Source organism: Homo sapiens, chromosome 5 (assembly GCF_000001405.40).
Source record: "Homo sapiens chromosome 5, GRCh38.p14 Primary Assembly".
NCBI classification, from domain to species: Eukaryota; Metazoa; Chordata; class Mammalia; order Primates; family Hominidae; genus Homo; species Homo sapiens.
Window position 1 is genome coordinate 151,137,055 of NC_000005.10, and position 14,419 is coordinate 151,151,473.

Here is a 14,419-nt window from a genome sequence, read left to right on the forward strand (position 1 = left end):
ACCTAGCACATCACCCAGCACAGAGCAAGTACTTATTGGGTAGATAAATGGGTGGACAAATGGATCAGAGGAAAGGAGGAGAGAAGGTAGATGGCTAGAATCTTAGTGTCCCCACTGTTGCAATCATCCTCATTTTGTATCTGAAGATCCTAAGCGGCCCCTCCTGCCCATCTCACCATCTTTGTATGCTGCCACCAGCTGGTGCATCTGCTCATTGGTCCGGGAAGCCAAGATCTCAATGAGGCACTTCTCATCAGTGCCAATGCCCTGGGGGTAGAAAAAGAGCGCATGAATTAAGGGCAGGGATGGGAGGTCACTGGACACAGGTTGGGATCAGGGAGTGGCCAGAGCTATGACACCCCAGGACTCAGGAGGTTCCTACCCAGCTCTTAGGCACTGATTGGGAACTCCTGCCTTGAGACTCATAAGACATGGTCATATGATTTGGATGTGTTTCCCCACCAAATCTCATGTCGAATCGTAGACCTGAATGTTGGAAGTGGGGCCTGGTGGGAGGTGGTTGGATCATGGGGGCGGTTTCTCATGAATAGTTAGCACCATCTCCTTGCTACTGTTCTCACGATCGTAAGTTCTTGTGAGATCTGGTTGTTTAAAAGTATGTAGCACTTCCCCACCTCCCGCCTTGCTCCTGCTCCCACCATGTGAGATGCCTGCTCCCTCTTTGCCTTCTGCCAAGACTGGAAGCTTCTTGAGGCCTCCCCGGAAGCAGAAGCCACAATGCTTCCTGTTCAGCCTGCAGAACCATGAGCCAATTCAACCTCTTTTCTTTATAAATTACCCAATCTCAGGTGTTTCTTTATAGCGATGTGAGAATGGACTAAAACACAAAGGTTCTAGTTCTGCCTCCTCCAGCTTTGTGAATTCTCTTCAGAAACTATCTTTTTGGGCCTCAGTTTTCTCATCTGTAAAATGTAGATGATATTAGTTGCTCTGCCAAACTCACAGGGAGATTGAGAAGATAATAATCTCACATTGCTAAGTGCATCAGTTTATAAAATGAATTCATGCTTAATAGCTCATAGAAGACAAAGATCATAGCACTTTATAGACTGTAAAGTGCTAGATACACTTAAAGGGCTTTGCCTCTCTTTTTCCTAGGGGGCAATTCTCTACCTCTACCTCAACCGGGCTGAACTACTCTTCATACCCTAAACACAGATCCACAACTTCTCCTGCCATTTTTACACCCTGCAATGACCTTGACACTGCTATCCACCAAATCCTCTCTGGGCTTTGGGGCTTAACTTGATCCTATTATCCTTTAAGATGCCCTCTCAAACAACCCTTGGCCCAGGGTCATGTTGATTACCTTTAGTGTGCCCTTGGCCTCAGGAGTGTTGGACACAATTTGTCTCCATGTCCCTATAACCTGTATCCTTGGACTACAAGCTCCTGGTAAGGGGGTCTGCATCATGTTGACATCTGTCTGCATCTCTCTGTGTGCGGATCGGGATGCTCCTCTGGGATAAATTTAGATGTGTCTTTGAAGCAGGACACATGTGCTGGGTGGGTATGGGGCTCACCAGTTGCTTTTGGAAGAGCCCAGAATCTTCCCATTAACCACATCCCCACCCCAACACCACATACACCCCCACTTCTTACCGAGATGGCATCTTTAATTTCTTTGGCATCACAATAGGCAGGTGGCCTCATCAGGCCCACAATCAACCGTTCAAACTTGCCCGTCAATTCATACTTTAAATCAGCAATGAGGTCCTGGCAGGTGGGGAAGAAGAGGAGATAGAAGAGGAAAGAGGAAGAGTAGTTACAACGGTAAGAATTACACTTAATGAGCACTTACTCTGGCAGGTGCTGGGCTAAGTAATCTCATTAAATCATCACCCTTGGAGGTATGTACTGTTACCAACCCTAAGAGACAGGCTCAGAAACAACAGAGGTCTTACTCCATGTCATGCTGCTAGCAAACGGCTATGCAGGGTCAGGTCCACAGCCCTGTGCCACTTCCCCACCACTGTCTGTTTCCTCGTTTACTGTGTATCTCTCTCACTATCTGGCAGTCCACAGAGTTGACACCTCACCCATCTTATTCACTAGTGCAGCCCTAACACCTAGCACGAGCCCAGCATACAGCAGGTGCTGTGGGTGTATTAAAGGCTGAAAGACGCCCAGCTGATGAGAAGAAAAAGAGCAGGGTAAGGTGTCAGCCCACAGGCTAACCTGGAGTGCCATATCCAGGAAATAACCTGAACGAGCACACAGGTGAATGAAATCATTCTTCCACCCGCACCCCATGGGCCCTCCGGTTGCTGTGGTTACCTTGCCGTAGAGGGACTTGTAGCTCTGGCAGACCTCCTGCCTCTGCCTGTTGCTCCGTGAGGTGATTATGTCCAGTATGGCCTCCTTGTCACTGCCTGGAATAGGGGAGAGCAATCATCATCCTACCCACCCTGCCTCCAGGAAGCCCACCAGGGCCACTTCCTTCCCTGGACACAGGCCTAGTAGCTCCCTGCAGGCCTCAGCATGAGCCTTCCACTCATCAGGTGCTGGTGTCAGGGCAGAGGGTCATGGGGATTTATTAAGTCACGACTGAAAGTGGACACAGCACACACAATATCTGTGCTCAGAAGGCCCCTGATCCAGCTCCTCACTGCACAAATCAGGAAATTAAGGCCCAGAGAGGGGCAAGAACTTGTCCAAGGTCTCACAATGAACCTGGCTTAGAAAACCCAGGTATCCTAACACCCAGTACAGGGTTCTTTCCACCACAAGACAAAGAAGAACATAAGCACCACCTTCGGATTGTGGCTGCCTCTGGGCAAAGGCAGCGGGCGGCATTATCAGGAGGGGGATCTACCAAGGAAACTTCAACTATGCTAATGAAGCACTAGTTCTTAAATTTGGTGGTAAATCTATGGGTGAAATTTCTATTATTCTTTATACTTTTTTTCTGAAACATTTTATTATAACATCATGAAAATTAATAAAAAGAGGAGACCAAAAAAATGAATAAGTGCACTTCACCATTTCACAGACCCTACCACCACCACCAGAAGGGCTCTGGGCTGTGTCTACTTTTGGGGGATACCCCTCAAGCTCCCATGAAGCCTGGCACCCACCAAAGCCCTTCATGGCAGTGTACAGAGCCTCGGCATCCTGGTTGGGGTCAAAGCCTGGGAAGTCATGGATGGAGCCCCGGTACTTGGCACCCTGTGGAGAAAAAAGTAGAGGGTGAGCTGCCAACCCCGGACTGAGACCAAGCTCCCAGCCCCAACCTCAGGTCAGATGCCTACCCTGGTCCAGGCTGAGCTGCTTTCCCTGCAAAATCCAGTGCTGGCCACATACACCCTGGGGAGCGGTGTGGATGACTTTCCCATACCACCTGCTGCAACCCGCCCAAAGGACAGTGCCATTTCCCCAAGGGAGGGGGGCTTGGCCAAGGCCTGCAGCCCTGCACCACCTTCCAAAGCATCCAGGAGAGGGTAAAAAAGCCTGGCTGAGTATAGGAGATGAAAATGATCCCTGCAAGAATAGCAAGAGTCAAATATATATATATATATATATATATATATTTTAAGAGATGGGGTCTCACTCTATTGCCCTGGCTAGTTTTGAATGCCTGGCCTCAAGCAGTCCTCCCACATTGGCCTCCCAAAGTGCTGGGATTACAGGCATGAACCAGTGCACCCAGCCAGCCCCTCATATTTTTATGGCATTTTATGTTTACACTTTCACCTCTGTGAATGTCATTAGTGTAGCCATTTGTAGACGCTCTTAAGATTATTTCTATCACAGAAGCCAAGCCCAAAGAAGAGCCACTTGTGGGAGGTCACACAGAACTCAGACCTTTTCCCTCTGCTCTCCAGCCCCGCTCTGCTCTCCAGCTCCAGGAACCTTGCAGGTGCCAGCTACTGAGGGTGGGGTCCTGGGCACAGGGGGCCCAGAGACACTCTCATTTCAATGCCAAGACAAGGCACTGCCCCTCTGGGCCCAGTAAACTGCGCTGTGAACTGGCATCTGAGGACAAGCTGGCTTGGTCTTTGAGGGGAAGGAGAGAAGCGGCAGAGAGCCAGGGGATCTTAGACATCGAACCTGAACCTGAATGCACAATGGGACTGGTTCACAGAGAAGTCAGATGTGGGTCAGTTACATGGCACTGAAAAGTGGGGGGTCTGGGAGAGCAGCTGAGAGCTGGCAGAGTGGAGGATGCCAGAGCCTGTCACCGAGCACACAGCACAGTGACAAGGCACTTCATTTGTGCTAGGCCCTACACTAATGGCTGAGGAATTGGGGAGAAAGGGGACCCAATTCCTGTCTTTCACGAGCTCCTGGCCCAGTGGCAGAGACAGACAAGCACATCAATTACTATAAAGCTTGTAGTAAATACATTAAGACAAAAATAAGGTAATGTGGGAAAACAGCAGAGGCTGATCCAGCTGCGGGAAATCAGGAAAGAATCCAAAAAAGAGGGAATGGAGGGTGGGCCACACAGATCTTGCCTTCAAGGAGTCAGAGGTGGAGCAGAGTGAGTCCTGGACCGCCTCCCCCTCTCCCCGTCTCCGTGCCTCCCAACGTCTGCACTGCAGGACCCCGGCCAGGCCTCTGGATGCTCTCTGGTCTCTGTCTGCAGAGGCTGGCTCCTCTGAGGTATGCATGCGTCGGCGTGGAGTTACTATTTAAAGTTCTGACCAGAAAGGAACACAGCTCTCTTCCTGCCACCTGGGAATCCCCTGCAACCTGATCACGCCCCTGGGCAGAGACTTAAAGAGTAACACATGCCGAATACCCAGAGCAGGGCGCCTTGCAAGGAGCTCAGTGAGCGCAGGATGGGGGCTTTACTGCCAGCGCTCCCCTTGGCCTTACTTCAGACCTCACGGCCGGAGCTTGAGAAATTCCTGCTGCCTTCTCCACCCCGGTGGGCAGTTTGATCCAGAAACCTCTGAGAGCAGATACCAGATCCATCTGCCCACTGCACAGAGATTGACCAAATACTCAAGTATTTGCCACATGAATAAAATGAACAAGAACACGAAACAACTGGGGTCCTCCAGGAATTTCACTTCTAAATCCTTTTCTCTTTCTTTCTGGACACCTCCAGTCCAGCGATATCAAAAAAGCACAGCAGGCAATATTAGCTACTAGGATGGATGGAGAAACAAGAGGTGCCTGGGCACAGTGGCTCATGCCTGTAATCCCAGCACTTTGGGAGGCTAGACGGGAGACCACTTGAGGTAGGGAGTCAGAGACCAGCCTGGCCAATGTAATGAAACCCTGTTTCAGCTAAAAATACAAAAATTAGCCAGGCATGGTGGCAGGCACCTGTAATCTCAGCTACTCAGGAGGCTGGGTCAGGAGAATCACTTGAACCTGGGAGGCAGAGGTTGTAGTGAGCTCAGATCGCATCACTGCATTCCAGCCTGGGCGACAGAATGAGACTGACTCTGTCTCAAAAAAAAAAAAAGGAAACAAGAAGGTTCAGAGGCTCAAAATTATTTCTTTGCAACGATCCTTAAAGACCTTTTAGTTCAGCTTCCCACTCAGTTATTGAGTCCATGGAGAATGGAGACTGTCGTGAATAAGACAAATCATTCTGCCTAAGAAGAACCGTGGAGCCCCAGCTCTAGCACAGGCTTGGCATACAGGCTGGAAGTAACTGTGACTGGGCTAAATGAATGGATGGAGACACCCATGACGGCCCAAGCTCTGAGATGGAGGACGCCGAAGGGGAAGACAGTGAAGGGAGACCTCCCTGGCACTGGATCCCTAGCAATGCTGTCTCCAATGTCAGGACCTCCTGGGACCAGTGTGGAAATATTAAGCTTTGAAAGATGCCACCAGGGGCAGGTCCTCCAGGGTCTGTCCGGGCCCTCTGCAGGCTAGCCTGTTGCCATGATTCATGGCTGTTTTTCCTTCCACCTGTCTGACCAACCTGTCCTAATCCACAGCAGCACCAGTCTCCAATCCACTTCAGTCATAGGATGTCCCTCCCACGGCTCACTTGGAATAAGAGAGGGAAAGGACTTTGAGAACCACAAGCTGAGAACTAAATGAGGAAGGTAGGTCTATTACCACTTGTGTCCCAGAAGACCCAGAACAGAGAGGGCAGGTGACATGTCAAGACCACACAGCAAGTCAGAGGCCCAGCTGGGAAGGGAATCCAAGGCTCTTTCTAACAGACCATCTCTCCCTTCCCCTCAGATTCCATCTGGGTGGGAGCTGGAGATAAGAAGGGACAACCACCACATAGCCCACTGCTTCCTCCTGGTCAACCATGCCAGCCTGCCCCTCTCCTTGAATACTGAAGCATTTGAGTTATTGCCCTGTGCTGTTTGCCTCTATGCCATTTCGACCCTATATTCAAGGCTATAAAAAGGCAGCAATGCTGTCCAATCCACAGCATCCTAAGTGCTTCTCACATTCAGATACTCACAATTCCAGGGCAGCTAGGGCTACCCTACCATTCATTCATTCAATCAAGCAAGCAAGCAACATTTACTGAGAGTCTACTAAGTAGATGCTTAGGACCAGGGACCACTAAGAACTCAGAATCTGGTAGAGATACATGACAGCTTCAACTACAAGACAGTGTGGCAGATACGATGCTAAGGGCAGCATGGGACCCAGGAAATATTTCCTTTCGAAGTTCCGGGAGGGCAGGGACTGTGTCTCTCTTGCTCACTGACGCATTTCTAGCACCAAGTACAGGGCCTGGAGCAATCAAGCACTCACTGAATATGTTTCATAAATGGATGGATGAATGACTGCGAATATATTCCAAGCAGATCAGAGAAGGCTTTCTGGAGGTGACGTCTAAGCTGAGTCCTGAGGGATGAGCAACAGGCTGGCCCCAAGGAGTAGAGTAGGGAGGGGAAGGCGAAGAGGAAGAAGGCATCACACAGAGGAGACACATGACAAAGACCTGGAGGGAAGCAAGGGGCATTCGGGAAAGCCAGCCCAGAGTCTGCAGGGCTCAGAGCAGATGCTGGCTGTCACTAAGATCATCCACTAGAAGCGGGGAAGGCAAAGAGATGAGGCTGGAGAAGATGATGGGGATAAACAATTCAGACTCTTGTAAGGGCAGCTCTAGCCCTGCTGGGCTGGCCTGGGCACAACACCTAAGTCAGGACCTGGGTAAGGGCAAGACTCTAACATCCTAGTGTGGTTTTCCTTACCCATTAAACTCAGCTGACCACTCACAACCCTGTCCCTAGTATCTGGCATTCTTTACTACGTTGAGCCATGTAACTTGCCTTGTATGTAGATTAAAAACAGTCAAATAGCAGCAGATTTCATATGGTTCATGTGACAGGTATTTCATACAAATACCTGTCTGGTTGATATGTGGGATCTAGAAACTATTTTAACTTGTCTGCTGGGGCAGGGGTGTGTGGGCGGTGACAAGTACTTAAGATAGAGTCTGATTCTTCAGAGCTCACAGTTAGATGCCCAAAGTCGCTAAAGTCATGGGATTGTAAGCTGCCGGGAAGGGATGCGGAGAAGAGGGAAGCATGTCCCCAGGATGAAGGGCGGAGGATGAGGCAGCACGCAGACCCCAATTTCCTATTGCTGCTCCTCCCCCTCCACTGTTCTCCCCCTCATACAATGTGGGTGGTCACAGCAGTGTCTGGAGAAGGGGCTGAAGTGCCATGCTGGGGGAAGGGTGCTTAATGACCTACACAAGCCTTGATCCAAACGCTCACTTAGAGACAAGCTTCTTGAGCAGCAAGCTCGGGCTCCTGCACAGTTCTTTGCACGGGACTAATAAGACCTTCCAAGTGATGACCTACTAGATTAGTTGTCCTGGGACCCCACAGGATCATAGCCACTAGAAGCAAAGGTGGGGGGCTTAGCACTAGTCACATTTGGAGATACAGAGACAGCCCCTCAAATCATCCAGGCCCAGGCTTCCCACCGTGTCATTCTCACACCAACTTCATGAATTCTGCATCTCTAAGCGCCACCTGTGCAACCACACAGGCTTCTCCTCACCCACCCCACCCTGACTGCCTGTCACACCTCCGGCAGACAGGTTCCCGGCTGCGGGAACCCAGGATCAAGGCAGGGGACAGCAGAGAAGGGACTTTCCACCCTGAAATATTCAGCAGGTCCTGGTGCCAGCTGGTGAGCAGCCGGGCCCTGGGGCTCTGTGGGGCTGGGCCCCACCCAGGCTGCTGCTGGAGCAGGAGTCCTAGTGGCCTCTTGGGAGCAGAGATGATGTCCCCAGAGAGACAGGTACATGGCCAGGACTCCAGCTGAGAGCTGCCTTGGCCGGTGCTGACCTAGGTCTCACCTCCACAGCTCCTAGAAGTCCCAGGCACAAGCACCTGCCTATCCTGCCCTGTCCTCAAGGTGTTTTTATGTTCATTATTGCATTCAAACCCAGAACGTCCCTGTGAAATGGAGGCCACAGCGCCATGCCTCCTGGGTCTTCCATGGCACCATCCTACTTCTTCATGTCTTTGGGCCTCAAGTTCTCCTCTTCCAAAAGGAGAGATAGGGAGAACAGCACAATAACCACAGTGGAAGGAACTGGGGGGTGTCTAGGCCAGAGAAGACGGAGCAGTTTGCTGTGTGCATGCACACGTGTGTATACATGCATGCATGTGTGCGTGTGTTGGAGTTTTGGAGGACACCAGATTCAAGCTAATAATTGAAAGCCGAGCTAATAACTGGAAGGAACAACTGCAGCTCAACGGCAGGGAGGCTTTTTTCACATTTCTCTGTTATTGTCTTCTGCAACCCTCACCTCTCCCCCAAACCACTGCACCCCAAGCATACCAAATTACTTTTACTCCCCTGAGCACGCTGCATTTGCTCTCCTTCTAGCCTCTGTCCCAGTTGTCCCTGCCTAGACCACTCTGAGCCCCCTTGTTCCTCCCCTGAGTAGCTCTCCCTAGGCAGCCTCCCCTCTCTCCTCAACCTAGGTGGGGTGCCCTCCTGCATGCCCCAGAGCTCCTTTACTGCCCCACCAGAACACTGTGCATGGAGGGTGCCAACTCATCCCATAGGAGGAGGGTTCCCTAAGGCCCTGCCACCCTGGGACTCACTTGCAGGAGGTCTACTGAACCCTAGTCCATGGCAACAAGAAACCACAGATCAGCCAGGCAGAAGGCATGGCCCAGGAGCACTGGACCAAGGTCCAAAGATCTGCACCCTAGGTCCTGGCCTCTCTGATCTTCCAGGGCCTGGCCTGTCCACTTGGATCATCTAGAATCCTGCAGTTCAAATGCCTTTCAGGAAGTAGCTCTAGTATGACTACACATAGGAAATGGGGAACAGTGAAAGTTCCACCTTGGATTTTTGCCCATAATCAGTAACATTTTCTCCTCCTGGTCAGAGAGGCCACTTGTACACACAGTATACTCCTCAGTGGCTGTGAGGAAGGCCACAGCTAGGACTTCTCTGAGGGTACTGATCCTATAACATCCTGTGCTCTTCAGAAACTGTGAATATCCTATAAGCCCAGGTTCACTGGGGGCAGTCATGATGTCAAGGATGGATGGAGTTTTATTATTACTGAATTCAACCATTCCGTAAGGGGAACATGAGGCCCAAAGACCTCACAGACAGCTTCTGTCTGTGCATTCTGTGGCCAGTAGTTCTGGGTTGGAGTAAGGGACAACGGGGCCCAGTCCCATGATTTTCTTCAAGATCCCCAAGTTTCTTCTCCCTGCCAATCCCATCGTCACACTGACTGCATGGCTTTCTCCAACGCCAGCCAACAGACAGCACCCTCAGGCAAACCCCAACAGAGTAGAGTGGGGTTTTTTGTTTTTTGAGACTTGCTCTGTAGCCCAGGCTGGAGTGCAGTGGCATGATCTCAGCTCATCACAGCCTCAATCTCCTGGGATCAGGTGAGTTTCCCACCTTAGCCTCCTAAGCAGCTGGGACTACAAGTACATGCCACCTTTGTATTTTTTCTAGAGACAGGGTTCTGCCATATTGTCCAGGCTGGTGTCGAAATCCTGCGCTCAAGTGATCTGCTCACTTCAGCCTCCCAAAGTGCTGGGATTATAGGTGAGAGTCACCGTGCCCAGCCTCAACAGAGCACAGTCGAGGTCAGAATCCTACCTCTGACCATGGCCAGAACCTAGTCTCAGCCACATGGGAGTAAAAGTTCTCAGGTGCCTCCAATTCTATTGCCCGGCAGAACAGTCAGACATGAGAGACTGAGGTTAGAGTCTCCCAAGCCAAGGAAATTCAATCCCAAATGGGTGTGACAGAGAACATTTCTATATCCAGAGCAGAGAAGTCAACAAGGATGTCTTTCTACCTGTCAAGTATCCATTTCCCTTCGTCAGGCCAAACAGTTCAGGTGGGACCAACTCCACCTCCTTGCTCCAAGAAAGAACAGGTTACTCAGGCACAGCCAATGAGAACCAGACCTGGGCCTTCCCCTGGAATCACTGGGCATGAGTTATGTTGTTTTCTCCCTGGGCTGCCAAGACAGCAGAATGGAAGCCTGGAGCTGCTGATGACTACCATGCCAATGCAAGGAAGAACCTACCCAAGAATGAAGCCACCGGAAGAAGCCCAGCTCACACAGGCAGAATCTTGACACTATCATTTGGAAACCCCTGGATTCAACCAGACCTGAAGCCCTGGGCCTCTCTGTCAGATAAGCCAATACACATCCTTTTCTGCTTAGGATATTGTGGGTTATATTACATTATGGTGACCTGCATCTGAAGAGCCATGACTTGTAACAGGAGCAAGCAAAGCCTAAGAACCTTTCCTCCTTTTTTCAAGCTGAAGGTACCAGGGGTCTCTGTAGCAGGCCTAGTGGCTCCAGGAGGATCCCAGGCCCAGAGAAGGCTGAGTACCACCTTCAGGAAAGAGAGGCCCCTTACCTGTGCTGGTTTGGCCATGGTCTCCGGTTCGCAGCAGAATCCACTGTAGAGAAGAAAGACAGCATGTGAGATTCCCCCCAACTCTAACCATCCCCTTTCTTTCCCTTACATTTCCTCCCTCTGCTGTTTTCCAGCTGCCCCCAGCCCTTCAGGTTAAATCAGACCCAATGACCCAGCTCAAGGCCAATCACATTTTTTTCAGAAGACAATGGACAGACTAGATGGTGTCCAGACATTCACAGCAGTATGGGAAAGGGACGCGGATCCCCAAGGGAGGGCGGGCATGGCACTGACCCACCACTGACCCCTTGACTCCTCCACACTAGGCAGGGTACCTGTCTCAGCACCGTCTCAGTTACTACTCTCAGAAATCCTTCCACACATCAGATTCTCCTTTTTTATAGAGAGGAAACTGAGGCTGGAGCATCGCAATAAATGAGCCAAGATCACACAGCTTAGAACTGAATTCAACAATTTCTAGATCCCAGAGTCTATACTATCTGCACCATGCATGCCCCCTTTTCAAGTCAACAAGGATGGCTTCAGAACCCAGAGCTTGACCGCCTGCAGATAGGACTCAAAGTGCTTCCAACCACCTGCTGCAATATCTGAAGGACTGTCATTCCTGAACAAGTGAGTATGCACTCATTTAGCGCCTATCCTAGTCAGGCATTGCTCTGGGCACTGTGCATGCAGAAATATGAGCAATTTTTTAAATTCTGTTTCTCTAGAGCTTATGCTGTAATGGGAATGAATAACAAATGCACTCATCAGGCTGAGATAAGAACTACAGAGAAAAGACAAGGCTTGGTCAGGAAAGTGACAAGGGGTGTAGTCCCAGGTGGAGGGGTCAGAGGATCTCACGAGTGTGACTGGGGCACACCGCGGGGTGGTGCAAGTGAGGAACCACCACGAGCTCAGTGTGGCTGGTGTGGTAGCAGGGAGTGGTGTGGTAGGATGTAGGATCTGAGACCGGTGCCTGAGGCCACTGTAAAGACTGGATTTTTCAGGCTGGTCGTGGTAGCTCATGCCTATAATTCTGGCACTTTGGGAAGCTGAGGTGGGAGGATAATTTGAGCCCAGGAGTTCGAGACCAGCCTAGGTAACATAGTGAGACCCGATCTCTATTAAAAAAAAATAAAAAAAAAATAGCTGGACATGGTGGCACATGCCTATAGTCCCAGCTACTTGGGAGGCTGAGGCGAGAGGATTGCTTGAACTCAGGAGGTGGAGGCTGCAGTGAGCCAAGGTTGCACCACTGCACTCCAGCCTGGGTGACAGGGCAAGCCCTGTCTCAAAAAAAAAAAAAAAAAAAAAAAGACAGGAACACACAGGAAAACAGGACACATATCTCATTGAAAATGGATAAGGAATGCGGGTGGAGGATATCAGGAGACAGGGTCTACAGTGAAGGAACAAAGATATGATACGTAAAAATAAATGCAAAAAGAGATGTAACTGATTTGGGAAGTATAAGAGAAGCAGGTAGGGAGCTGGCTAATGAGCACTCAGGAGGGCAACAGATGAAAGTTTAACAATCTTCTTAAGAGAAGGAGAAGAGAAACAAAGGACCACTACTTTCCACTTTAAGCAGGTCTGGGCAATTTGATCTCTTTTTTTTGAGATGGAGTCTCGCTCTGTTACCCAGGCTGGAGTGCAGTGGCGCAATCTCAGCTCCCTGCAACCTCCACCTCCCGGGTTCAAGCGATTCTCCTGCCTCAGCCTCCTGAGTAGCTGGGATTACAGGTGCACGGCACCACACCTGGCTAATTTTCGTATTTTTAGTAGAGATGGGTTTCACCATGTTGGCCAGGCTGGTCTCGAACTCCTGCCCTTGTGATCTGCCCTCCTCAGTCTCTCAAAGTGCTGGGATTATAGGCGTGAGCCACCAAGCCTGGCCTGATCTCTTTTAACAATGTCTATGTATTGCTTTTTAAAAGTGAACATAACAGAGGCCAGGAGCAGTGGCTCATGCCTGTAATCCCAGCACTTTGGGAGGCCAAGCGGCAAGGACCACCTGGGGCCAGAAGTTTGAGACCAGCCTGGCCAACATGCGAAACCCCGTCTCTACGAAAAAATACAAAAATTAGCCAGGTGTGATGGTGTGTGCCTGTAGTCCCAGCTAGTCAGGAGGCCGAGGCAGGTGAATCGCTTGAGCTGGGAGGCAGAGGTTGCAGTGAGCAGAGATGGCACCACTGCACTCCAGGCTAGGCAACAGAGTGAGACTCTGACTCAAAAAAAAAAAAAAAAGTAAACATAACAAAGTCAATCAGATTTACCCAGTAAGACCTAAAAGGAACAGAACTAGGAGAGTAGAAATCATGGAGACATTTCAGCTCAATGCCTTCCAGTTCTCCACATATTCCCTGTTCCCCCAAGACTTAGGGAAAATCTTAGCCATGTGACCGTGGGCTTATTGCTCATTTTTGAGTTCAAGGTGATCTCAAGCACAAAACTGAAGCTTTCCCTTTTCTGCTTTGTAGGGTTGTTGGAGGATAAGACCTAAGTTATGTCAAAGGCAGCACATAAGAGGCCAGGCACAAGACCTGTTCTTAGTAAATGGTGATATTTACTGTGCTGGTGGGAAGTTGAGGACAGGGCCTCTGTCGTGTTTGCCTCTGTGTCTTCACTGGCTGATTATGAGTTCCCCAAGCTGCAGTCAGCTGAGGACAGTCATCATATGGGGTTGGGAGTGGAAGGCAGAGGACGGATCTGCCTGCAAATGCAGCTCAGCTCAGCTCAGCTTCAGGAAACCTTGCTGTTTCCCTGGCAACCAGGGGCCCCTTGGTACAACTGTGCAGCTCTCACCAGGAAATGGAAACTGTACCCCCTTTCCAGTGTGTGGTGGGGGGAGGAGGGGGCCCACATCTACCCCGGGATGAGGCTGGAGGCCAGCTCTCGGTTTCCTCTGACCTGGGGGATAGTAGGGGGAGACAGTGAAGGAAGCCCAAGGCTAGCAGAGAACCAGGGACTGAATGAGACCCAGGAAGTTAGTTGACACAGACAGAGGGAGGGCTGAGGCCTGTCACCTGCATCTCCAGCCTTGAAGCACTTTCCTCTGGGCTTGTTGCTGGCAATTTCAGCTGCTGGCTGCAGCCCAGGCCCATCTGGAGGAGCTCCCCTTTCCAAGGAGAGATGGCTTCAAGGAGGGGCCTCTTACTGTTTGGGAAAATATTCTCAGCTCTGAGAGCAGTTTCTGTGTGCCTTGTGTGAGTGCACAGTTCATATGTAAAAAGCAAGCTCCTTCCAGAACTAGATGTTCAGACTGCAGTTCTGAGGGCCAGTCCCCCTGCTGATTCCACAGCCCCGCCTCTGAGGGTTCTGGGAAGCTCCTGAGCTAATCATAAACACACCATTTACCCTGGCTTTAAGATGGCTTCTGATCCCTCCCAGAGCAACCTAGACCATACTGCTCAAATTGGCTGAATATTTTACATCTAGTGTTTCTGAATCCCACAAGGGCCCTTAATAATCCATGACTCCAAGTCCCTCATTTTCTAGACGGGGTAAAGGCATCTCAGAAAGAGAAAGTGACTTGCCAGGGCCCAGGAAGCAGCCAACATCTCTGCCTAGCAGCCCTCGATCATAAC

The 14,419-nt window shown here is 50.4% G+C and overlaps 1 protein-coding gene across 3 annotated transcripts in view, besides 2 other annotated features; it reads right to left on the bottom strand.

The window, feature by feature from the left end:
• ANXA6 (annexin A6) overlaps nucleotides 1-14,419 on the bottom strand; it is a 57,074-nt gene that overhangs the window by 36,349 nt on the left and 6,306 nt on the right. For 2 of the 3 annotated variants that reach the window (NM_001363114.2, NM_001155.5), the window contains exons 2-6: nucleotides 10,830-10,872; nucleotides 3,099-3,189; nucleotides 2,299-2,393; nucleotides 1,624-1,737; nucleotides 177-267 (exon numbers count right to left, since the gene is read on the bottom strand). In NM_001363114.2, coding sequence (NP_001350043.1) covers nucleotides 177-267; nucleotides 1,624-1,737; nucleotides 2,299-2,393; nucleotides 3,099-3,189; nucleotides 10,830-10,847 — 409 coding nt within the window. In that variant the 5' untranslated portion in view covers nucleotides 10,848-10,872. Of the gene's footprint in view, nucleotides 1-176; nucleotides 268-1,623; nucleotides 1,738-2,298; nucleotides 2,394-3,098; nucleotides 3,190-4,478; nucleotides 4,631-10,829; nucleotides 10,873-14,419 lie in introns of those variants that run through there. The other variant, NM_001193544.2, reaches the window with a different exon arrangement.
• Nucleotides 4,458-4,537: an enhancer, noted in NCBI's record as "active region_23442". NCBI's record gives its function as "activates an Ori minimal core promoter by ATAC-STARR-seq in GM12878 lymphoblastoid cells {active_cell/tissue: GM12878}" and the evidence as "EXISTENCE:reporter gene assay evidence [ECO:0000049][PMID:35858748]".
• Nucleotides 4,558-4,767: an enhancer, noted in NCBI's record as "active region_23443". NCBI's record gives its function as "activates an Ori minimal core promoter by ATAC-STARR-seq in GM12878 lymphoblastoid cells {active_cell/tissue: GM12878}" and the evidence as "EXISTENCE:reporter gene assay evidence [ECO:0000049][PMID:35858748]".